The sequence below is a fragment of the Homo sapiens genome, chromosome 6 (assembly GCF_000001405.40).
Source record: "Homo sapiens chromosome 6, GRCh38.p14 Primary Assembly".
NCBI classification, from domain to species: domain Eukaryota; kingdom Metazoa; phylum Chordata; class Mammalia; order Primates; family Hominidae; genus Homo; species Homo sapiens.
This window is the reverse complement of record NC_000006.12, coordinates 71,944,321-71,968,252: the sequence shown is the minus strand read 5'-3', so window position 1 is coordinate 71,968,252 and position 23,932 is coordinate 71,944,321. Positions and strand designations below refer to the sequence as shown.

At 36.0% G+C, this 23,932-nt stretch overlaps 1 protein-coding gene across 25 annotated transcripts in view; it reads right to left on the bottom strand.

Annotated features, from left to right (window-relative positions):
• Positions 1-23,932, bottom strand: part of RIMS1 (regulating synaptic membrane exocytosis 1) — a 516,596-nt gene that overhangs the window by 434,893 nt on the left and 57,771 nt on the right. The window lies entirely within an intron of this gene.

Sequence of the window (23,932 nt, the reverse complement as noted above, 5' to 3'; positions counted from 1 at the left end):
ACAGAGCACTGGTGACATTTATTGGCAGAAATCAGAAAACACCTCCATCTGAGGATGAACATGGATGGCCCAGATATTCCTTCTTCTCAAAAGCTTTAAAATAAACATGGCTTTGAATAGAGAAGGCTTGGTTATAAAACTTAGACCTCACATCTTAGTCTTTGCTAAACAGAATGCCCCTTAGGATCCAGAAGGCTTCAAATATGAATCTGGTTCTTAAGAGCTTTCATGGAGGCTTCTTGGAGATTTGACTACCCTGCTCATATTTAAGGCCAGTCATATTATTCCAGAAGTGGATCACTGGTGAGGCAGTGGTAGATAAACTGTTTTCCCAGAGCTTAAGGCTGCATGGCAAATTTCTCCACTTCTGAAAGAAATAATACAGGAAAACATGGACACAACACACAGAAACGTGCACACACACACTGCTCATTCCAAACAAGGTCAGTAAGATGCCGAAATCAATATGTTACATGACAAGAAAAGAAAACGGTGCTATTTCAAAACCTCAACACACCTTCCCTTTGCATAAAAGTTTTAAAAAGTGGTGTTCATCAAGAGTTGATGCTAAACTTTCGATGAATTGGTCAAGAGATGTGAGTCAACAACATCCACAGAAACCACAAAGCCTTGTGTTCTTTCCCCGGTGTGGTGGGAGAAGGCCAATCATGCATCAGCCTTCAAAACATTCAGGAATGCAGTTGCTAGGGAAGTGTAATGTCCTAGGATTTCTGAGCTCTGAAATTTTAATATAACTTACACAAGCTAAAATGTCCAGCAAGTTAAACTTCAAAGCATTCGAAAATCTTTAGCAATTCTCACTTAACTAAAAATAGCAGATGCAGCATTTTTTTTTTCTTTTTTTGAGATGGAGTCTCGCTCTGTTGCCCAGGATGGAGTGCAGTGGTGCAATCTCTACTCACTGCAAGCTCCATCTCCCAGGTTCACGTCATTCTCCTGCCTCAGCCTCCTGAGTAGCTGGGACTACAGGCGCCCACCACCACGCCTGGTTAATTTTTTGTATTTTTAGTAGAGACGGGGTTTCACCATGTTAGCCAGGATGGTCTCGATCTCCTGACCTCGTGATCCACCCGCCTTGGCCTCCCAAAGTGCTGGGACTACAGGCGTGAGCCACTGCGCCTGGCCGCAGCATTTTTAATCTACATGCACTGATTTGTGAAAATATCTGGAATATCACCAACTTGGAAAAATTCTAAAGAATTAAATCTATGAGAAATCTTAATTCATCTCTTTTTTTCCCCTCAAGTCTTAGGTATTCATACAAAGCTTTCAAATAAAACAAATCTACTACTTAAGAGTTTTTAAAAATATGTGCTGAAGTAACTATTTTCTAACAAATATAAGGTATTAAGCAACACTAAAGATAGGTTTGTAAGCAAACATTTTTTTTTCTGACTAAAAGGCCCTATCTGCTGGGCATGGTGGCTCACGCCTGTAATCCAGCACTTCGGAAGGCTGAGGCCAGTGGATCAGTTGAGGTCAAGAGTTTGAGACCAGACTGGCCAACATGGTGAAACCCCATCTCTACTAAAAAAATACAAAATTTAGCCGGGTGTGTGGGGTATGCCTGTAGTCCCAGCTATTCAGAAGGCTGAGGCAGGAGAACTGCTTAAACTGGGAGGCAGAGGTTGCAATGAGCTGAGATCGTGCCACTGCACTCCAGCCTGGGCGACAGAGTTAGACTCCAACTCAAATAAAAAAATAAAACAAAATAACAATTTAAAAAGGGCCCTATCTTTGTAAGAAAATTCTTGTCTAATCTCAAGTCCCAGTGGTTTTGGTTTAAAATTTCAAGTTAATATACTGTTTCTGTCTATGTATGTTATAGAATCTTTCTGATAAAAACTTCATTCAATTTTTTGAATTTTAAAGTTTTATTGAATAATAAAAATAAACACATTAATATTCAAAAGCAATATATTTAGAATTAATCTGAATATAACAGGAAAACAACACATTTTCCATAATAAGATATATCCTGGCCACAGGACAAATATTCAAGAATAGAGCAATGTAGCTAGCTATTGAATCTGCATTTTGAAGGGAGGAAACTAATTGTTTCAGGTTGCTAATCATTTACCCAATTTCGGGGGCTTCTAATCACAAGATTTTTGTTTGCTTGTGTGGATTACCATTTCTTTAAAATTATAATTGAATTGGATCATAGTTTGGAAGGATAAAACCTTAATAGTTTTGACCGTTTTAACATATGGAAACTGTGTAACCTCAGCAATTTCCACTATCTCCTATGCATTAGACTTGGTATAATAATATAAACCCCTAATACTTTAAGAGACACAACAATGATATTTCAGTATGTTGCAGCTTTTAAGGGGTCTGTCTCTGTAATTCACTCCTTCAGCCCGACATAAGGAGACCACAAAAGCTGCCACAATGCTGACTTCCCAGAATTACCACGGATTGAAGGACTAGGAATTCAAAGAGTTTGACCTCTTATTTTTTGCAAAGTCTTTAATTACTCAGATTTATCAGATTGGGGCTCTTCGACAGTCTTCTAACTGCATGTGAGCATTCCCTCATCACTGAAGCATCACTGAAGATTTATGCAAATAAGACATTCTGCAACCGCCTCAGGGGAATGCTCCTCCTGACTCCGCCCTCAGCGCTGCTGGGTTTTATGAATGACTGCAATCAATGCGATGAATGGTTGCCAACTGCCCACTCAGCCACTTCCACTCTTCAGTGCACGTACACACGGGAGAAACTAACATTGCCACAAGCCTGCAGATGAAGCTATGGCAAGGCTTTCATCTCTCCAAACAGGAACTAAATGTGCTTTCAGATACTTAAGAGTATGTGAATTAAAAATTCTAAATGCCTTCAAGAAACACAATTTACATAATTACTTTCTCTCTTTTGACTTTCCATTTTGGTGCCTGCAATCACTACCTTCTACCCTCCCTCCCAAAAAAAAACCACCACTATTTTATGTGAAACTTTATCTGAATTTGAACTTTAAATGGTTTTATCTTTAATGTCAGGAAACTAGTTACTGTGCAGGAAGCGGCCAAATAGTAGACTATAGGACATTTACATTTCTGTTCTTAATGTTACGGTTTTTGAATTTTCCTATCATAAATGGAGACAATTATCTCCAAATAGTGTTGGGGAAATACATGTGTTTGTGTCTACTTCCCAAGTGTTATTGTAGGGTCCACATTGGTCCTAAGAGACCTTAGGAGCAGTTAAGATAATATGAGGTTGACAAAATGAAATGTTTTTCAAATATACAATTTTCTGATTTGCTGATCACTGATTAAAAGTAACCAGAAACAGACAAGAAGAGACTTCAGGGGCTCTGTAGCTGGCCACCTTTCCTTCTACACCCCCCATTCAGTGCTTCATGCCATTCTTCAACATGACATTAACCATAAAGTACCCCAAATACATGCAACATTCCTATTTCCTACCTGATTCTTTCTTCTTAACTCTAACATCTAACTGCCTCCTCAACATTTTTACTTGGGTATTTAACAGACCTCTCAAAATCAGCATTTCCAAAATAGAACTTTTCATTTTTTTTTTCCCCTAAACCTGATTCTCCAGCAACCATCTCCACCGTGGCTGATCATAACTACATTTCTCCAGCAGTTCAAGTGAAAATCTTTAGACTTGACTCCTTGTTTTCTCTCACATCCTGTGTCCTAATACCAGACTGGACGTATTTTCTAAATTTATGTAGAATTTGACCACTTATCAGCCCCTCCACTATTGCCACCCTGTCCTGAGCCAATATTGTCTTTCATTTGAATTCTCACCATAGATTTTTAACTGGTCACCCAGCATTTACTATTGTTCTCCTCCTGGAGTCTATTCTCAACACAACAGCCAGAGTGACTCTTTTGAAAGATAAATCAGGTCCTGCCACCTCTACCCAATAGTTCCCTACTTTACTCACAAGGAAGTGCCAGAGTCCTTAGGATAGCATCAGGACTCCCATCACTAATCCCTCCATCTACCTTCCTGCCTTGAAATCTCTGCACCAACCTTTCCTGCTGTGTGGAATGCTCTTCCCAATACTGGTATGACTAAACCCCTTACTTCTTTAAAGTCTTTGCTCAATTGTCGAGTTTTTGATGGTTCCTACCCTAATTATCCTACTTACTACTACAATCTGCTCCCCTCACCACATCCAGATATTTCCATGCACCCTTCACGTTGCTCTACTGTTTTCTGAGATATACTGTCTCCTACTGCTGAAATACGAACTACTCAAGATCAGAGATCTTTGTCTGTTTGGATCACTGACATATGCTAAGAGCCTAGAACAGTGTCTTACATGTAATAGCAACTCACCACATATTTGTTAAATGAATAAAGAAGATAAAAAGAATGAAAATCTATAGATTTCAAGCTTCAGTAACTAATTTAACATGGTAAAACACAGTGATTTAAAACAGATTCTAGGTAATAGTTTTTGTCATATTATAGCAAGTTTCTATAAAATATTTATAAAATAAAAATAAATAACCAAAAAGTTTTATGATTTGATTAACTTCACTAAATTTGTGTTCATATGGTTTGAGTAACGTTCACTCTCTTTCTGCACAAGAAAAAGAGTATTTCACAGAATATGACCTATTTAGTGGAAAGGACTCTTTAATATCCAATTACTGCTTTGAACCAGTGAAATACTATTTAACATCTGATGTATCAATATTTTATCAAATAAGACATTAAAGTAATTAAATATGGGGAAATTTCTTAATAGTAAAGAGAAAATTAATCCTCTTTTTCTGATTTTTTCTAAAGAGAGCAGGAAAATAAGAAGAACTTCTACATATTTAATACCTATCATGTACCAAAATACTCACAGCATATCTCACGTATTCTTCTTACCACCCTGCCGGGGCATATGATTCTCCTACTTGGCCGATGAAGAAAGTATGGATCTAAGAGGTTAAATTATTTTTCCAATGATAAATGGCAAATGTTCATACCTTAAGAAGTCAGGATTTTAATCAAGGTTGGTTTGGTATTAAAACTAATGTCCTTTCCACCATTCCAGGCAGCCCTCTGTCTTTAATACTTAAAAGATGAATGGAAACTGATAAACATCAACTGTGAAGTTACAGAGTCCAGCAACCTCAGACGTGTTTCAATATCATTGATTTCCTGATATAGGTATATTGATGAAAGTATTCAAATCATCCTACATAATTCAATGTTCTTTAAACATTATTCTAGTATTACCAGACCATATTCACGAAATATTACATAAAAGCAGAACAATGGTGACATCAGAATATTGAGCTGGCTAAACTAGAAGTGTAAAGTGACCTTAAGACCAATGGCAATACTGGAATACTATGAAATGTGAAATGCAAGACAAATTATCTGGTACGTAGAGAAAGGGTTTCTATAATACAAAAAAATAAAGGTGAAAAGACAAAAGATTCATTTGCAAGACAAGTAGAATGCAATTGATAAAAATATCTTCAAATATATATTTTAAAGGAGGTCTTTAAAAGCAACCTCATTTCCATTCACAAATTCTAAATGAAGAAAAGCTGAAGAATATTATTTTAAAACTCATTTTATATAAAAATTTGTATATTCATGTCAATTATCAGTGAACAAATGAACGTGATGACTGTTATCCATAAGATGAAGATGGAACAGTGAAAATTCTACACCATAAGGGAAAAGTGAATGTTGACATTTCAAAAAGCCAGATGTACTAATCACAAACCATCAGGTCCTGTTACACCACCAGTGTGCATTCAGGGAAGCTTCGGGAGTTTATCAGAGTAATTTTTACTTTCAAAAGGCATGGAAGATAGGTGCAGTAGGTTCCTAGTTATAAGGCAAGGGAAACCAGCTGGCCATTTTTAACAGTGAGTGATGAGAAATGTTGACCTTCCCCTGAAGAGGCCAGGAAATTATTCACAAAACAATATGAAAAGTCTAGGAGTCTAAAATAAAAGTGATAATAAACTAAAGATTCACTACAAAGATTAATAAGAGATTTTAAGTTTTGGAAATCCATTTTTTCAAAGACTGATAAGAAAAGAAAATAATAGGTAAAAAGTAAAGTCTCTGGTCTTCTTAATCATTGAAGTCTACCCCATTTATCATCCTTTAGATCTCCAGAATAAAAACAGGCTTGATTCTATAAGTTTCTCATATTGTCTCCAAGATTTTGGCAACATGTCCAATTAACCTCTTTTTACTCAAGCTATTATTTTCTGTTAACACAATCAGTTTATTTCTCCATTCAGCAATTCTTAAAATGTAATACTTACTTTACTTACTTATGGATTTATATCTGCCATCATTCCCTACATATTCATTCTCCCATTTGCTTTTATTTTCTACTTACTAACCTGCATTCATTCTCCAAAAACCGTGTGCTGCCTGCAAATCCAACACAACTTTTGAAAAACTTAGAATGCCAGAAATTTTCTGCCACTAAACCTGCAAAGGAAAACCTGTTCATTCCATATGATAACATAACAAAACAAAACAAAACAAAACAAAACCTATCCACTGAGAAGTAAGGAATTTCTAGAAGAGGAAGCAATAGTCAGTGTATCAGAGGGAGGTATCAAATAAGATGAGGTCTGAAATCATGCTTTGAACTCTCCAGAAGGAGAAAGAGGTGAAGCTCAAGTGGAACTGCAGTGGGCTGAAGAGAAATAGGGTGATGTGAAAATAAAGAGAAAATGAAGATAATTGCTACAAACATAGATGAAAGCTGTACTGAGAAAAGAGGGTATAATGAAGGGAAGATGGTCTTTTTTACTTATGGGTACAAATCTAGGTGAGTAATTACCCATGGGAAAGGGAGAAGTTAAAGATACAGAAAGAGAGGAGAGAAGGGGAAGTGGAAGCAAGCGGTAGGGTGAGGAAGGGGAAGACGGAGAGAAGAGGAGAAGAGTTTAGTGACGAAACAAAGTTGCTGAGGAGGTAAAGGCAGATTACATGAAATAAACACATAAGGGATTATTTCTCAAAATGTCACCTTTCATTTGACCATAATGGCCATCTCCATTTTCTTCCAGAAAGATCCATGCAGGACAATCCTGCATTAGATTCATTTTGGAAAGGTTTAGAGAATGAAAATTATTTCTCTACCTCTTCACGTATTTCTAACTCAGTTCCTAGAGGCAGAAACTTTGCCTCAATACTTCTTTCCCACCTGTACCTGTGCCAGAGGTGGGGAAGAAGGGAGACATCTGAGAGGGCTCTCTCTTTCCACCTATCATTCACTAATAGTTATGTTTTCACTATTTAGTGGGGTCACTATGTCTTCTGCAGGAAGAAATTGGCAGTTTCCTCTTTGGCTTGTTGGGTGCAAAAAAAAAATTTTTTTTTCACTTCTTCTTGAGTACCCAGCTTCTCTACAGGAAGCGCTCTTGGGTAGGCCTGGGTAGGGCAGACTCTGCCAGGCTTCTAACTCTAGCTAACTCTCTTTCTTTCTCACTAACCCATGTCTACTTGAATATTTAGGTAAACACATCTGAAGCCTGCTTAGAAGGGTTAGTCTTTTAGATTTAGAGTGAGTTTTTTTAAAAAAAGAAAACTAATTTGGGAATGACAATCTACAGTAATTAGAGAGGACATGAGAAAAACTACAAGGACATCTAATATTTCCAGCAAGGTAGGAAACATAGTCTGGATCCACAGATTCAGCCTGTTTTGTTCCACGACCCATGACAGAAGGTGCTTCTGTGTGAAACATCATCATGGGCTTTAGTTGTATAAACAAAAGTCCCAGTCATTTTATTTTCCACTAAAGAAAGCATATTGATCAAAAAGTGAAAATGACAGTATTACAGGAATAATCTTGGAACTAACATAGGTTATCTTAAAGATAAAATTGTTTATAGCTTTTAGTATTTCCATTTCTACTAGTAAAAAATTCCAGCACCCCTCACAGCTAACTTATGTGCCCCATTGAAAACCACTAGTCTCACCTGCTGGCTTTGTCCCAAGCCAGGCTGTGTGTAGTCTCTCCATCATAAGAAACAATCACCGACTTCATTGAGAGAGAGGTGAGAGATTGTTTAGTAGGCAATAACATCAACTTAAACAGGTATATTAACTCTCTCAAAGAGAAGCAAATAACTAAAAATGGTCTTGATTAACTTAAAAAATAAATTCAGTAAAACAAGATGAATGTCAAGAAATGTAAACCTATTTAGATATGAAAAGCAATAAACAACAAAACAGGAAAACAACAGTTAATAATACCAGCTAAGATTTCTGGCACCTACAGTGGGCCTGGAACCATGCTCCGAATCCCACATGCTTTTGGTCATGTCACATAGTCACATATCATATATTATGACTGGTGCTTTGTGAGTTTAAAAAGGATAATGTCACCCAAATTACAAAATTTATTTGTGAAATACCATAGTTTCTTCTTAGAAGCACAGTTCATCATTTCAAAATTACCTGATATCTGTGAAGTATTTTGTGTTGAGCAAATAAATTATTTCATTATCATTCAAGATGTAGCAGGAGCCACAAAATTACAATAGAATATTTCGAGTTGTAAGCATTAGTCTTTAATTCACATCCCCTTCCCATATTGCAACGTTGTAAAACAGTAAGAGATAGTTATCAGATAATGGTTGTCCACACTTTAAAAAAAAAAAGGATAAAAAAATGAAATTTGGTAGCAGAGGGGGAAATTGATGCCATTTGTAAGGATAATTGCCAGAGCTATTTTACAACTATGAGTTTTCTGTTTTCTATTTGTATCACAAAACCACAGCTCTTTGAATAATGTTTTTAGATACTTCTATGTATGTAAGTATGTCTTTTCCCCACAAAGCATTCATTTTCCTCCCTCATCTGGGAGCCCAATAGCTGAATAAATATCTACTGAGAGGTCCCACAATGGTTCCTTGGTGGGATTTAAGTGGATTTTAAATAGCTAAAATAAAATGGGAAAATGGAACTTGGAAAAGCATTAATGAACTATTTCAGGCACTACTTTCAATTAATTGTAACTATTTTTTCAACTGATTCACCTGCCTAGAAAGTTAGAGAAAAACTGGAGCCAATGAGATATGAAAATGTGTTATTACCTGGGCTTTTACTTTTGTAAAAATATTAAAGTGCCACATGAGAAATATACACCTTTCATTTTCTATTGTGAATGAATATTTCTTTATTTTGTCAAGAGGTCACAGGCCTCTTTTTCCTAAAATATGACCAAAAAAAGGAAATCAAATCAATTTGACACTTACATGGCAACTTTAATACTGGAATATGATTGCTTCTTTGTCTATCTTTTGCATGTAGAATGAGAAAAGCAAATAAATCTTGTAAATAACTTTTTCATCCCCTTCATCCAAATTGATGGAAATATGAACAAACATTTAGGGAAAAATGGATGAATAGTATGGCATTTGAAAAGATAATCTAGCAAACAGGATTTCTTACTCCTCACTGACAAAGGTGAACATGCTCTAAGACATCTGCTTCCCCCTTGACCTGATAGGGCTGTCATTTTTATGGCCTCACCTGAGCTAATTATTCCTGAACTGTCATTTCCAGACTTCACCTCCCATTACCTGTCATGTATTAAATCTGTATCTACCAAAAATTCACAATTCCTATTATATCTTATTTCCTAAGTCAGGTAAATCTACATCACAGTTTTAGAACATCATTTTGTCACTTTGATCTCCATTCCGTATCCTACTTTTCTTACCTCAAATTACCTGACCACTTCTCCCATTCCTTTAATTTTTAGTCCTTTCAAAACTCAAATGTAATGAACTCCAGAAATAATTTCAGACTGAGTACTCTCATTTATCCACCACCAACTTCTTCAGGAAGCACACGTTCTTATATAGGCATAAGAGAATTTGTTTAATAGCAACAATCCAACTACTGGGAAAAAGTTCAAGAAATGTCTACATTGGAAATATATGAAATGGTAGTGTGTTCCACAGCTTCACTGGGAAACCCTGATGATTATGACATCGAATCTTTACATAGTGATTGGATGTAATCAATGAACAAATACAGGAAACCTGCTCTGTGCCACGTACCATGACAAATGTTATGATCACCAACCAAAAACAAGTCACTCTATTCATCAATAATAGTAGCAATAATAATAACTTAGATTTATTAAGCACTATGATAGGGACTCGTTTAAGCTCTTTATATGCATTAACTCATTTGATCCTCAAAGCAACTCTATGTGGTAAGAAGGTTAAATAACAACATCTTGATAAAGCCTTTATACAGCTCTGCCCTGTATAAGTTGCCATAGCATTAGATTCACAAGCTCAACTCTTATTTTATTACTAAACCATTTTATTTCCTTGAAGTTGCTTAAATTAATTTTTAATTAAAATTTAATTATATCCAAATACAGATAAAAACAACAAGATCAAGCATAGGAATCTTGAATTAATACTATAATAAAGGCTGACTCTTTTTCTCCTAAAATGTCATTTAAAATATATTTATTTTATCGGCTAAAAATTTAGTTTATTATACTTTTAATATGTCTATACACTGTCATGTCATTTAGTGTTCTTGAGGGTTGTAAAATAATTTTAATTATATTATCACATATAACTAATATTCACCTTGCTCTTCAGTGTGTCACTTCCAGAGTTCTAATTAACCCTGGTATTTACTTTGCATGTACTTATTTATAGATTCATGTACATAGAAAAACATCAGAGGGTTTCAAACTCTAAGACTGAAATTTGTCACCACTTTTGTCAAAGTCATTAACTTGTTCATTAGCATTCATGCTTCTACTGCAGGCAAACCTAAAACTACAGAGAATTCATCAGCCTTGGGATAGCAACTCTATTGTTAAAAATTCCTTACTATTGGAATATTATTTTAAAAATGTTTACTGAAATCTGCCTTTATGTAACTTTCACACATCACTCCTATAACTTTGCTCTTGAAAAGCTGCATAGAGTAAGTTTGCTGCTTTTCTAAAAGACCATCTCTGCATAAATTTAAATTCAGTGGTCCTGTTTCCCCTTTATCCTCTCTTCACTTCTGTTTTTCACCAGTCCATCAACTATCTCTCACTAGGCATATATTCCAGAGACCTAATTACTCTAGAGAAGTTTTTGGTTAATAACTTTCTTAAAAGTTGACTCCCTTTGTTGTGCAATATTTTTACTCTAGGTCCAATACAAATGCAGATTTTACAAACTTCTCTAATAACCAGGCCATATACAAAGGCCAACGGACAGAAATGAAATTCAGGGCAAATTATCTATGAATGGCTTCCAAACCTGGCTATATATCAGAAATATCTAAAGAAGCTTTTAAAGCAAAGACTTCTTTGGGTCCCAGCTCAGACCTACAGAGCTGGGATTTGGGCTCAGAAATTTTCACATTATTAGCTCTCCTGGGTGACTCTAATGTGTTCAAGCAGGTGTTTGGGAACTGCTGTTGAAGAATGAGCCATTCATTCGCGCAACGAGATGAAACGAGTCCTTTCCTTAGAGGAAGCTAAACCACAAGAGGACTCCATAACTTGGACCACGTTATCATAGTCGGTCATAAAAGAGCTTTCCATGAACTCCATTTTAATGTTATACCCTCAGCTTTTATGAGAGGTCGATACAAGAAATAGCTGTATGAAGTCGGTTCCTGTCTTTACTGTAAAATAGTGGTGAAGTCACTGACTACTGCATCAGTTTGATTCCATTCTAATAAACTCCACATTAATTTTTTCAAAATCTAACACCAAGAAAAGTGATATTCCTCTTATATTACAAATGTTTATCATGATTTGTTTTGGTCAGGGATCAAAGGAAGCTCAGAGCAAAACTTAAAGTTTACTATAATAACTCTGTTTACATAGTAAACATGTTAATAATATCAATTTTTTCTTGGTTGTAAGTTTCAACTTATATTATGTTAAGGCTTTATGTGAAATCCTGTCGAGAGAAGCAAAATAGAATTGTGGAAAGAAAGAAAGAAAGAGAAAGATTAAAACCTAACAATACAACAATCTTAAAATCCTAAAGTACTTTTGCATTTTCTAAATTAGATACGTGGGAAAATTTAATCCTTGCAGTAAGAAGACTACATATGTCATAGTAACAGTAGAGTGGAAATATTACAGATTAAACATTTCTACTGTTCATACATACATTTCATATATATATATATTTTTTAGGCAAATAACTATATCTTCTTTTACCTATAGAGAAATTTTGTGAGACATTGTCTCTAATACTACATAATTACCTCATTGAAAAACTTTTCTACCTTTTCCTCTTATATATAACATTAAGTAGTAAATTAGCCAATTAAAACATTGGCAAGAAACAGTAAACGTGACACTGTCTTTATCAATTCAAATCACCCATAGTTTGTTGCTATGTAACTCAAAATAACCCCCTTACTTTAGAAGTAATCTTTTAGTTTTGACACTAAGTAGTTAAGAATTACTGATCTTTCCCTAACAATAAAAATTTAAATACTAAACTTTATCAAAATCTTAACAATTTTCCCCAAAGACACTATTAAAATTAAAAATATGCACTCCTAGACTCAGAGGAAATATTTGCATTACATATCTTAAATATACATTACATATAATTAGGTGCATATGTACATATACATATACATTACATATATGTACACAGATAGGACTTGAATCCAGAATACATAAAGAATTACTATAAATCAGTAACAAAGCAACCTATCCTATGACTTAGGAATTGATTTCTCAATATTTACCCAAGAGAAATAAAAATATAGGTCTACAAAATGATTTGTACCAGAATGTTCATAAGTTGGGCACGGTGGCTCATGCCTGTAATCCCAGCAGTTTGGGAGGCTGAGATGGGAGGATCACCTGAGGTCAGGAGTTCGAGACCACCCTGGCCAAGATGGTGAAACCCCGTTTCTACTAAAAATACAAAAGTTAGCCAGGCATGATGGCTGGCACCTGTAATCCCAGCTACCCAGGAGGCTGAGGCAGGAGAATCGCTTGAACCTGGGAGGCAGAGGTTGCAGTGAGCTGAGATCATGCCACCGCACTCCAGCCTGGATGACAGAGCGAGACTCTGTCTCACAAAAAAAAAATGTCCATAGAATATTCATAGTAGTCTTATTCATAATAGCTTAAAATTAGTGATAATCTAGGTGTCCATCAATAGAATAACTAACTAAAAAAAATCATGGCATATTCATAGAATAAAATATATTTTTAACACATGCAATGATATGGATGTATTTCAAATATTTTTAGAGCAAAGAAGCCAGACACAAGAGTTCTTACTATATAATTCAATTTTTATAAAGCCTAAGAATAGGTAAAAAGTAATCAATGATGACAAGAATCAGAAAGTAGTCACCTCTAGGTGTGTGTGTGTGTGTGTGTGTGGAGTGTGTGTGTGTGTGTGTGTGTGCTGAGGAGTGGTATTGTGATGTTTTATAGCTTGGTTTGAGTTGTGGTAACACAGCTGATGCAACTGTGAACACTCATCAGACTAAGAACTTCAGATCTGTGGATTTTACTTTACGTAAGTTATATCTCAATAAAGAAGTAAAAAAAAAAAAGAAAAATTACTAATAGACTAAAAAACGTCAAAATTCTACTAATTTAAGGATATGTCATCCTTCATGCCAGTAGAATATAATTTAATGTGCTTTGGAAAGCAATCACTCCAATAAACAACTACGGAAGTCAAATAATTAATACACTTTTTCAAAGAAAATAATTTACTTCTTTTTACCATGTTGGAATCAGAAGGATAAATGTAAATACAGTTAAAGCTAAGAAACAGGTTTATGTAGGAAAATTTTGCATCAAGATGAATTGTTTCATATACATGAAAATCTTAAAGGAGCTTTAAAGCAGAGTTCAGGAAAAGTCCAAACCATGCTACTGTATCTTAAAAAAGCATTACCTGTTATGTAGATGATTTGAGAGGTAAATTTGCATTCAGTATTTCTCAGAAAATATTACTTAAGATTATACTAAGATTTATTGCTGGGAAAATCCTAAAATTGATATTTTGAAAGGCTTTATCTACATTCTCTGTAGAACCAAAATATGTCTTATATCATATATCTTACGATAAGGAAAAGGACATTTATTTTCTAACAAATCATGGGCATTAGCTGCAGTTTCTAACAGCAACATCTCATACCAAAGGCTTTAAAAATTATTTTAATTAGAAACATACCTAAAAAGGCAAAAAAAAGTCATGAAAGTCTCATCTACTCCTATTACTTTAAAAATTAGATAAATAAGTGGAAGTTGTCCATCACTATGTTCTAACCCTGTTTAACTCTTCTAAAGGCATAGATAGTTTAAGACCCTAAAGGTAAAAAGCAACAGTCCTTTAATTCAGTCTGTTTGGCTGGGGAGAAGCATGAAAATAGTCTCAGAGCTGTAATTCTCGCATCCTTATTAGAGCTGTTGCAACTCAGTGGTCTCAACAGAAGAGCAGGTGCATTTGCTTTGGCTTTCTTCCTCATTGAAAACTCAGCCCTAAGTGGTTTGAGAATCCTGGAGAGTCAGCTGGAAGTCACTAAATTAAGCTATTTCAATGTACTGTTATTCTAATAGGTAAGTATGTTTTTATATTTAGGAAAGAAACTAATTCTGAAAGGGAAAGTACAGTGGTAATGGGAGGATATGAAATAATGGAAAAATAATGAGAAATAAGTCAGAATGTTAACATGCTTTCAAAAACAATTTACATCAATGGATCTACTTCTCTACACTTAATGCTTTTTCCCCCCTGCTTAAAGTATTGTTCAAAAATATTGACTCATTTTTACCTCCACCCCACCGTCCCACTTCTTTGTTACCAAGTTTAGCTATGCCATTTGCTTTAAACTCACAGTAGCCAAGGTGTATTTATTTCCCACCATGTGAACTGGGCCTTGCCATGTGACTTGCCTTGGACAATGGGATGTTAGCAAATAACACAAGAAAGGGCTTAAGATGTGCTCCTTGACCGGGCGAGGTGGCTCACACCTGTAATTCCAGAACTTTGGGAAGTTAACGCGGGTGGATGGCTTGAGGTCAGGAGTTCAAGACCAGCCTGGCTAACATAGGGAAAACCAGTCTCTACTAAAAATATAAAACATTAGCTGGGTGTGGTGGTGTGCACCTGTTAATTCCAGCTCCTTGGGAGGCTGAGGAAGGATAATCGCTTGAACCCAGGAGGCAGAGGTTGAAGTGAGCCGAGATCGCACCAATGCAGTCCAGCCTGGGTGACAAAGTGAGACTCTGTCTCAAAAAATAAAATGAAAAAAAAAAAAAAAGATGCGCTTCTGCATTGGAGCTTGCCTTCTTGACTGCCATTACTGTGAGACAAACCTGAAACACATGGAACAAATCTGAGCCCAATCTGCAGCTTGAAGGCCAGGACTTGCCAAGCCTAGCATAGGTGACTTCCACCCAGCCAACCTGAGGAAGCATGAGTAACCCCAGCTGAGATCAGCAGGGACCCTCCAGCTGTCCCACAGACCACCTGAGAAATAAACGCTGTGCCCTGAGATTCATATTTCTCCTCTCTGCTCCAGAATCATTACTTAGCCCTGTGGGGATATCCAGCTATGTGATTTCAAAAAAGACGTTTCCTCCCATTGCAGATCCAAACTTCCTAGCATATTCTCATGATGCCCAAGTTCCAGTTTTCCTGGTGTTTCGCAGTAGGAACCTGCCCTAGGGCTGCTCTCTGAGGGGACACCACCTTCCTCCATCAGCTACTTACCTCATTCAATATAGATTCCCAAGGGCCTCACGAATTTCCCGATTTCAGAAGTGAATTTGTAGTAGTATCAATGAGAATGATTAGAGTCTCTGTGATAGACAGGACTTTGTTTTATTCATTACTATATCTCTAGTTCCTAGAAAATTGTCTGGCACATAATAGGTGCTCAATATATATTTGCTGAACAACTGAATAAACATACTGGAACTTTTTTTTCAATATAGATAATGACTATATTTAGCAGGTCACTTTGATACATTCACCCAAATGACAGAGTTACTAGAGAATTTTGGCATAGAGTGATGGTGGGAAGTGGGAGCAGTGGGAGGTAAGCTGGAGATTCACAAGGCTTTTCCTAGGGTTCCATAAATAATCCCACGTAGGTTTCCCAACAACTCCACCTAAGAGTACATAACACTGTACATTAGACATTGTAAGTCAGGGTCAGGCCTGCCCATGCATGATGGAACTGTCATAGGGCCACCAATCTGGACTGTCTTTTAACACTTCATCTGACTTCATTCCATGAGACCTGGGTGGAGAAAGCATGACAACCTCACATCCACATTCAATTGTCCAATTTTCACCTTACTAGGGAGCAGGGATATTATCTTATAAAGAAAGGCAAGTGTGGTAGGGCAACAGGGCAAGGAGTCAAAAGACTTGAGTTCGAGGCTTGGTTTACCACATGACTGAGTAGAAAACTTTAGGTAAACAGGCCAAGCATGGTGGCTCACGCCTATAATCCCAGCACTTTGGGAGAGTGCTGGGATTTGAGGCAGGGGATGGCTTGAGCCCAACAGTTCGAGACCAGCTTGGGCAACACAGAAAGACCCTGTCACTATTAAAAAAAAAAAAAAAAATTAGCTAAGCGTGGTGGTGCACAACTGTGGTCCTACCTAGCTACTTAGGAGGCTGAGGCAGGAGGATCCTTTGAGCCCAGAAGGTCAAGGCTGCAGTGAGCCATGACTGCATCACTGCACTCCTGCCTGGGTGACAGAGTGGAGACTCTGTCACACACACACACACACAAAAAAAAAAAAAAAGAAAAAGAAAAGTGGAAAAAATGGTCTTTTACTCTACTTGAAATGTTACATTAGAAAGGCACTCCAAAATTTTTGGTTGAATGTAAGAATGTAGTTGAGTGAATGTCGTCATTATTAATACAGTGATGGCAATGTTGTCAGCATCAGGTGATTCTGAAAACAAGAAAAAACAAAACAAAACCTCCCGCAATAAAGAGCTAACCAAGTTGAAGTTGATACAAGCTTTAGGTAGAAAAATAATTAAAGAAAACAAGTCTTCATTTACCATGTTATCCATCCACTAAAGGAAACATAATCTGAACAGTCCATCATAGGTAAGAAAAGGGAAAAAAGTATAAAAACAGCATCTTAACCTCCATATGTGCTTATTTTGATTTATCACGTCTTCCAATTTTACAACTTTGGACTGACCATTAGTGTATTTGATGTTTGCATGCTGATTTTAAGAAAGAATTTAAATGCCAAGATTTACAGCTATTTAACAGTATATGTCTTCTCATCTAAAATGTTATAACATCTTAAAATGCTGGCTTTCTTTGTCAAGGCAGCCCAATAAAATACGTAAATAAGAAAAACCAGCATGCACAAAAGCCATGCTTCAGGCATTCTTCCTTTTGAGTTTTCCTTTTTTTCAATTTAAAAAGAAAGTCATGTTATTTCTTCACTTTGGAAAAAAATGCATCAGACCATAATACTTAAAAACTAGCTGTAAAGGTAGAAGCTGCCTCAGTCGGAAAAAAATGTTTCTGGAGGGAAACAAGCTATTTTAAAAATAAATCTTGAAATGTTTGGACAAATCTTAGTTCTCAGACACACATACAGAAATTAGAGAAGAAACTTCCAAAATTATTCTAATAGCTTTGCAACTGAAGGTTTCCTAAAGGTTGTTCTTTTAATTCACATCTTGACTTAGTTTGCTATCACCAAATCCTAATGATAGGCTCAAATGTCCAGTGTCTACTACTGTGAACAGGGAGGCTAAACACTCAATATCCAAGTTCTGGTTTTCTCCTTTCTGGAATTATTTTCTGGGTTGCAATTCTTGACTAGTTTCTGGTGTTCTTACTACCTAGAGGTTTCCATTATAACTGCTTTTTTTTTCAGATTAAGGTAAAATCTATACAATAAAATTCACCTGTTTTAAGTGTACGGTTAGAGATGCTTTAACAAATATACACAGTCCTGTAGCCATCACCATAGTAAAAACAAGAACACTTGTATCACCCAAAAGACTTCTCTACTATCTCTTGTAGTCAACCTCCTTCCCCTTTCCTCATTAGACCCCATGATAATCAATGATGTCTGTTTCATCTCTATAATGTTGCCCTTTCTAGAGTGTCAAGTAAATGAAATAATCTAATATGTAGTTTTTTGTCTGACTTCTTTCACTTAGCATAATTTTTTGAGATTTATTTGCATTTGCATGTATCAGTAGTTGGTTCCTTTTTCTTTGTGAGTAGTGCTCTACCTTATGGATTTACCATGACTTGTTTATTCATTTACCAGGTGATGGCCATTTTATTGTGTCTAGCTTTTGTCTATTATGAATAAACCTGTTATGAATATTGAAGCCATGTCTTTGTGAAGGCATATATTTTCATTTCTCCCTAGTAAATACCTAGGAGTGGAACTGTTGGATCATATGGCAAGTGTATGTTAATTTATAAGAAACTGTCAAACTGTTCTCCAAAATGGCTATAACATTTTAGATTTTTGCCAGCAGTGTAAAAGAATTCCAGTTACTCTGTCCTTGACTGTTAAATGGAGATCTTATAATTAAACACTGTATGTAATACCACATGATGACTTGACAACTCATAGCCATTTGAGTTAAGTAAGTTTAACATTTACGGAGATTATCAGCATGGCTAGCTCATTTCATTTTTCCTATATGTCTGTGAAGAGGGTATACTTATTCTTCATTTTCAGGTGAGAAAACTGAAGTTTAGAGGGGCGACTTTGCCCACAAAACAAGTGACAAATTTGAAACATTATCTGAGGTGGTCTATAGCCTCAGTCATAGCCTACTTCAGTGTGTAAAAGAAAATTGGTGGTTGCTTGCAAAAAATGTATTTAATGATGCATGGCGAATAGAGCAGTTGTTCTCTCTCACTCTTTTTTCTCCCCATTGTTGGAGAAAGAAGAGAAAAAGATAATCATATAATTTAGAGGACCTTTCTTGTTAACTTGCTATGCCCAGAACCAGGAATTTAGGAGGTGATGTCCCCAAAAATTATACATCCTAATATAGGGTACTGAGATCAGAGTTGCAAGTTATGTTCATTCTTTCATTCCTATTTCAATATATCCTGAATCTGCACTAGCATATTGCATTGAAAGGCATAAAAATACACCCATAAGCACTTAGATGGACAAATTCTCATACTACAAAAAGGTATTCAGCAGAGTTTGAAATGTACTTTAATCACCAGGGACAAGGCAGCCTTTACATATGATGGTTGTACTTGAAGCCCTGCTAATTGTCCCTTGCCTCTGCTTTGCAGGCCTGAATTAGCTTATGCCCTCACTCTATTTATAGGTTTGATGAGTAAACTTAGATTCTCCTTAATCTTTAAAGACTGAAAACATAAGGGGATATGAATTGGAAAGGTCAGCATTACAGAATCTTTACACTTCCCCAGGGCATCCCTGTTCTGACAGCCCAGAGGAGTTCGCAGGTCACTTCAGCCTGTAGTGTTCTTTCCTGCCTTCTCCTCTAGGTTAGCTGTGCCCATCCCCAGTGCCCAACCTATTATCCTCTCCATCAATGAAATTATTATGGCCTATGTAGTATTACTAGTAATAATTATAAAAATCATGTTTTTCACACTCATTATGTGCCAATCACTTTGTTAAGAGCATTAAATCTTCACAACATCTTTATGAGGTTGGTCTTATTGTCTCTAATTTACAGAGGAGAAATTGTGTATCATCAGAAAGCCATGTAGCATGTGCCATGTCAGGTAGGCAGGGGCTCTGTTCTATACTGTTCACATTCAAGAAGGCTTTACAATTAGTGTCATCATAAATTGCCAGGGCAAAAGGGAGAGAAAGGTGGCAAACTGAACACTGCCTCCTAAGTGCTTCTATTAAGAAATATTCAATGTTACTTATTTTTATATTTTGTTGGTCAGAGTAAGTTGCATGATCATGCCTAATTTAAGAGATTGGAGAAGCATAATCCTAGCAAGTGCACAGAAGAAAGAAAACCAAAAATATCTGATGAACAACACTAATGATCAGAACAACTCATCTGATATCCTCAGCATTTAGTAATATGTATGAGGCCTGTTTGATGGATGCTGGAGAAATGAACTAAATGAATATTTTCACTGTATGGTGTATAAGATACACAACCTGTGACTCTTTGCTAATAATATTGATTTCAATTGATGTCTCATGAAATTAATCCCATTACTTCAGTATCTTGAACACATTCATTTATCCACCTTGAATATATTCACCTATAATTATTTAGTAAGAATTTAATGAGAGATTAGTGTGCTAGGTACTTGTTAAACTAAAACTAGTTATGAAATATAATGCCTGTCTGCTAAGAAATTTAGAGTGCCTGTACAAACATATCTACTATGATATATAGTACATTCATATATAATATATATGTGTATGTATATGTTTGTATTTTGTTAATTTTATTTTTAATTGACAAGTATAAATTGTACATGTTTATGGTTTGTAACATATTTCATATATGTATACACTATGCAGTGGCTAAACTATATGCCTTTCCTAAAATACTTATTGTTTTCTTGTGGCAAGAACATTTAAAATCTACTTTTAGCAATATTAAATTATACAATATATTGTTATTAACGGCAGCCATCATGATGTAATATAAATCTCTTAAACTTATTGCTCCTATCTAAATGAAATGTTATGTCATTTGACCAACATCTCCCCAATCCTCTCACTCACCCCAACTTCTGATAATCACCATTTTATTCTTTGTTTCTGAGTTTGACTTTTACACTCCACATATAAGTGAAATCATGCGGTATTTGTCTTTTTGTACCTGGCTTATTTCAATTAGCATAATGTTCTTTAGGTTGAACTATGTTGTCAAAAATGACAGGATTTTCTTTTATAAGGTTGAACAGTATTCCATTATGTATATATACCACTTTTTCTTTATCCATTGATCTGTTCATGTACAGAGGTTGATTCTATATCTTGGCTATTGTGAATAATGTTTCAATGAACATGGGAGTACAGATATATATTCACCAAACTGATTTCATATTTTTTGGATATATATATCCAATAGTGGCATTGCTGGAGAGAAAAGGGTTCCCTTTTCTCTATATCCTTGCCAACACTTGTTACCATTCATCTTTTTTATATTAGCCATTTTAACGGTGTAAAGTGATATCTCACTGTGGTTTTAATTTGCATTTTTCTGAGAATTAGTGATGTTGAGCACTTTTTCACATATCCGATGGCCAGTGGTATGTCTTCTTTTGAGAAATGTTTGTTTAGGTCTTTTGTCCATTTTTTAATCAGGTTATTTATCTTTTTGCTACTGAGTTGTTTGAGTTCCTTTTGTGTTTTGGATACTAACCTCTTATCAGATGTACATTTTGCAAATATATTCTCTAAAACCCTAGGTTGTCTCCTCATTCTGTTTATTGTTCTCTTGGCTGTGCAGAAGATTTTTAGCTTGATATCATCCCACTTGTCTATTTTTTTTTTGCTTTCGTTGCCTATACTTTTGGGGTCATACCCAAAAATTATTTTCCCAGGCCAATGTCACAGAGCTTTTCCTCTAAGTTTTTCTTGTAATAGTTTTAGAGTTTCAGGTCTTACATTTAAGTGTTTAATTCATTTTGAGTTGATTTTTGTATATGGTGTGAAATGAGGGTTTAATTTCTTTCTTCTTCAAGTGGATATCTAGGTTTCCCAGCACCATTTATTGAAGAAACTGCCTTTTCCCCATTGTGTGTTCTTAGCATCTTTGTCAAAGACAAATTGACCATAAATGCATGAATTTATTTCCATGCTCTTTATTCTGTTCCATTGATCTACATGTTTGTTTTTATGCCAGCACTATGCTGTTTTGATTACTACAGTTTTGTGGTAAATTTTCAAATTAGATAGTGTGATGGCCCCAGCTTTGTTCTTCTTGTTCAAGATTGCTTTGGCTAGTCAGGGTCTTTTGTGGTTTCATATGGATTTTAGAATTGTATTTTTCTGTTTACTTAAAAAATGTCATTGGAATTTTGATAGGGATTGCATTGAATCTGTAAATCATTCCAACCCATGAACACAGGTATCTTTCCATTTATTTGTGTTTTCTTCAATTTCATAGATTAATGCTTTATAATTTTAAGTGTATAGATCTTTCACCTTCTTGGTTAAATTTATTCCACAGTATTTTATTTTATTTTTTGAAGCAAGTGTAGATCGGATTATTTTCTTGATTTCTCTTTTGGATTTTGCTTTTGTATCAGGTAACTCTACTCAATTCATTCATCAGTTCAAACAGTTTTTTGGTGGAATATTTAAGGTTTTCTGAAACCCCATCTCCACTAAAAAATACAAAAATTAGCTGAGCGTAGTGGCAGGTACCTGTAATCTCAGCTACTTGGGAGGCTGAGGCAGGAGAATCGCTTGAACCCAGGAAGCGGAGGTTGCAGTGAGTTGAGATCATGCCACTGCACTCCAGCCTGGGCGACAAGAGTGAAACTCCATCTCCAAAAAAAAAAAAAAGATTACATCATCTGCAAACAAAGACAATTTAACTTCTTCCTTTCCAATTTGGATACCTTTTCTTTCTTTCTTTTGCTTAATTGCTCTGGCTAGGGCATCCAGTATTATGTTGAATAGAAGTGGTGTGAGTGGGCATCCTTGTCTTGTTTCTGATCTTAGGAAAAAAGGTTTCAACTTTTCACTGGTGAGTATGATGTTAGCTATGGGCTTGTCATACATGATCTTTATTGTGTTCATGTATTCAATACTCTGAGGCCTGGGAGGCTTATTTATTTGTACTGTCAATAGAATTCCTTCCCTCTAGCTCTGGATTGGTCTTGCCAATGAAAGGGACACACAGGCAAACTAGAAGGTGAAGAGTGAGCTGGATGAGGTATTTATCCCCACAGCACCCTGCCTTTTAGATCATATCCATGTGTATGTCCCTCCAGTGCTGTGTCCCTTTACTGAGAGCTGCAACCCTCAATATCTCTTTTTTTCCCCATAGCTGTCTTTCTGTCTTTCAGAATTCTTTCTCCTTATTCTTTCAGGACTGGGGAGGCACAGTCCTCTGCTGTTACTGGCTCTGAATTACTTCACCATCTTTTGCTGCTTGTCGTAAGTGCTGCCCACATTTTTGTAGCTAGTCTTTTTATTAAACTCTGTCCAAATTACCACTTTTTCCATGCCATCTCTTTCCTACTAGAACCCTACTAGTACAGGAGATAATTTAGATAGAGGTCTTGAAAGTTTGCACATAGTAACTCAGGAAAACATAGATGTTATACTTTTCTGTATGGGGCCAAATCTGCAGGACCCTTCCCTTTACCACCTCTGTTACTATCTAGACCCCTGTTACTACCTTTAAGATAACAACGCAATGTCTAAATAATTCATTGAAAGTCAGTGGTACATTGTCAAAAAAGAGCTTTTTCTATAATCTAGATAAATATCAATGTATGATCTGAATGCCAGTGCATACATTGTAATATTTTAGTTGAGTACTCTTCGGCCGACATCTCACATGATTTCTATGTAGATCACGAGATAAAGTCCACACACCAATGTTACAAATGGATTTTATTGATAATGTTATGAAATCTTTAGCCTGTTTTTCATAAAAATTCTCCAGCCTTATTTCCCATTATTTTCTCTCACTTCTCAATGGTCTCACTACTTTTCTGCCTCACACCAGGATGGCAACTTCCCTTTCTCTTCTCTCTAACACCCACTTCACACCAACTGTACATTTTCTAATATTACTCCATCTTCCTCAACATAGCCTTCAATCCCTCTCTCACATCAGAGTTAAGCAAAGCTTCCCAGAATGGTTGCACGTTATGCCCCGACAAGTGCCGGCTTGTCCTCCACTCCCAACACTGTGCCCCAGGTAGGAGGCTACAACCTCAAGAGAAAGGGGTGCCTCTTCTTCTCTACACAATTCTATGCTTA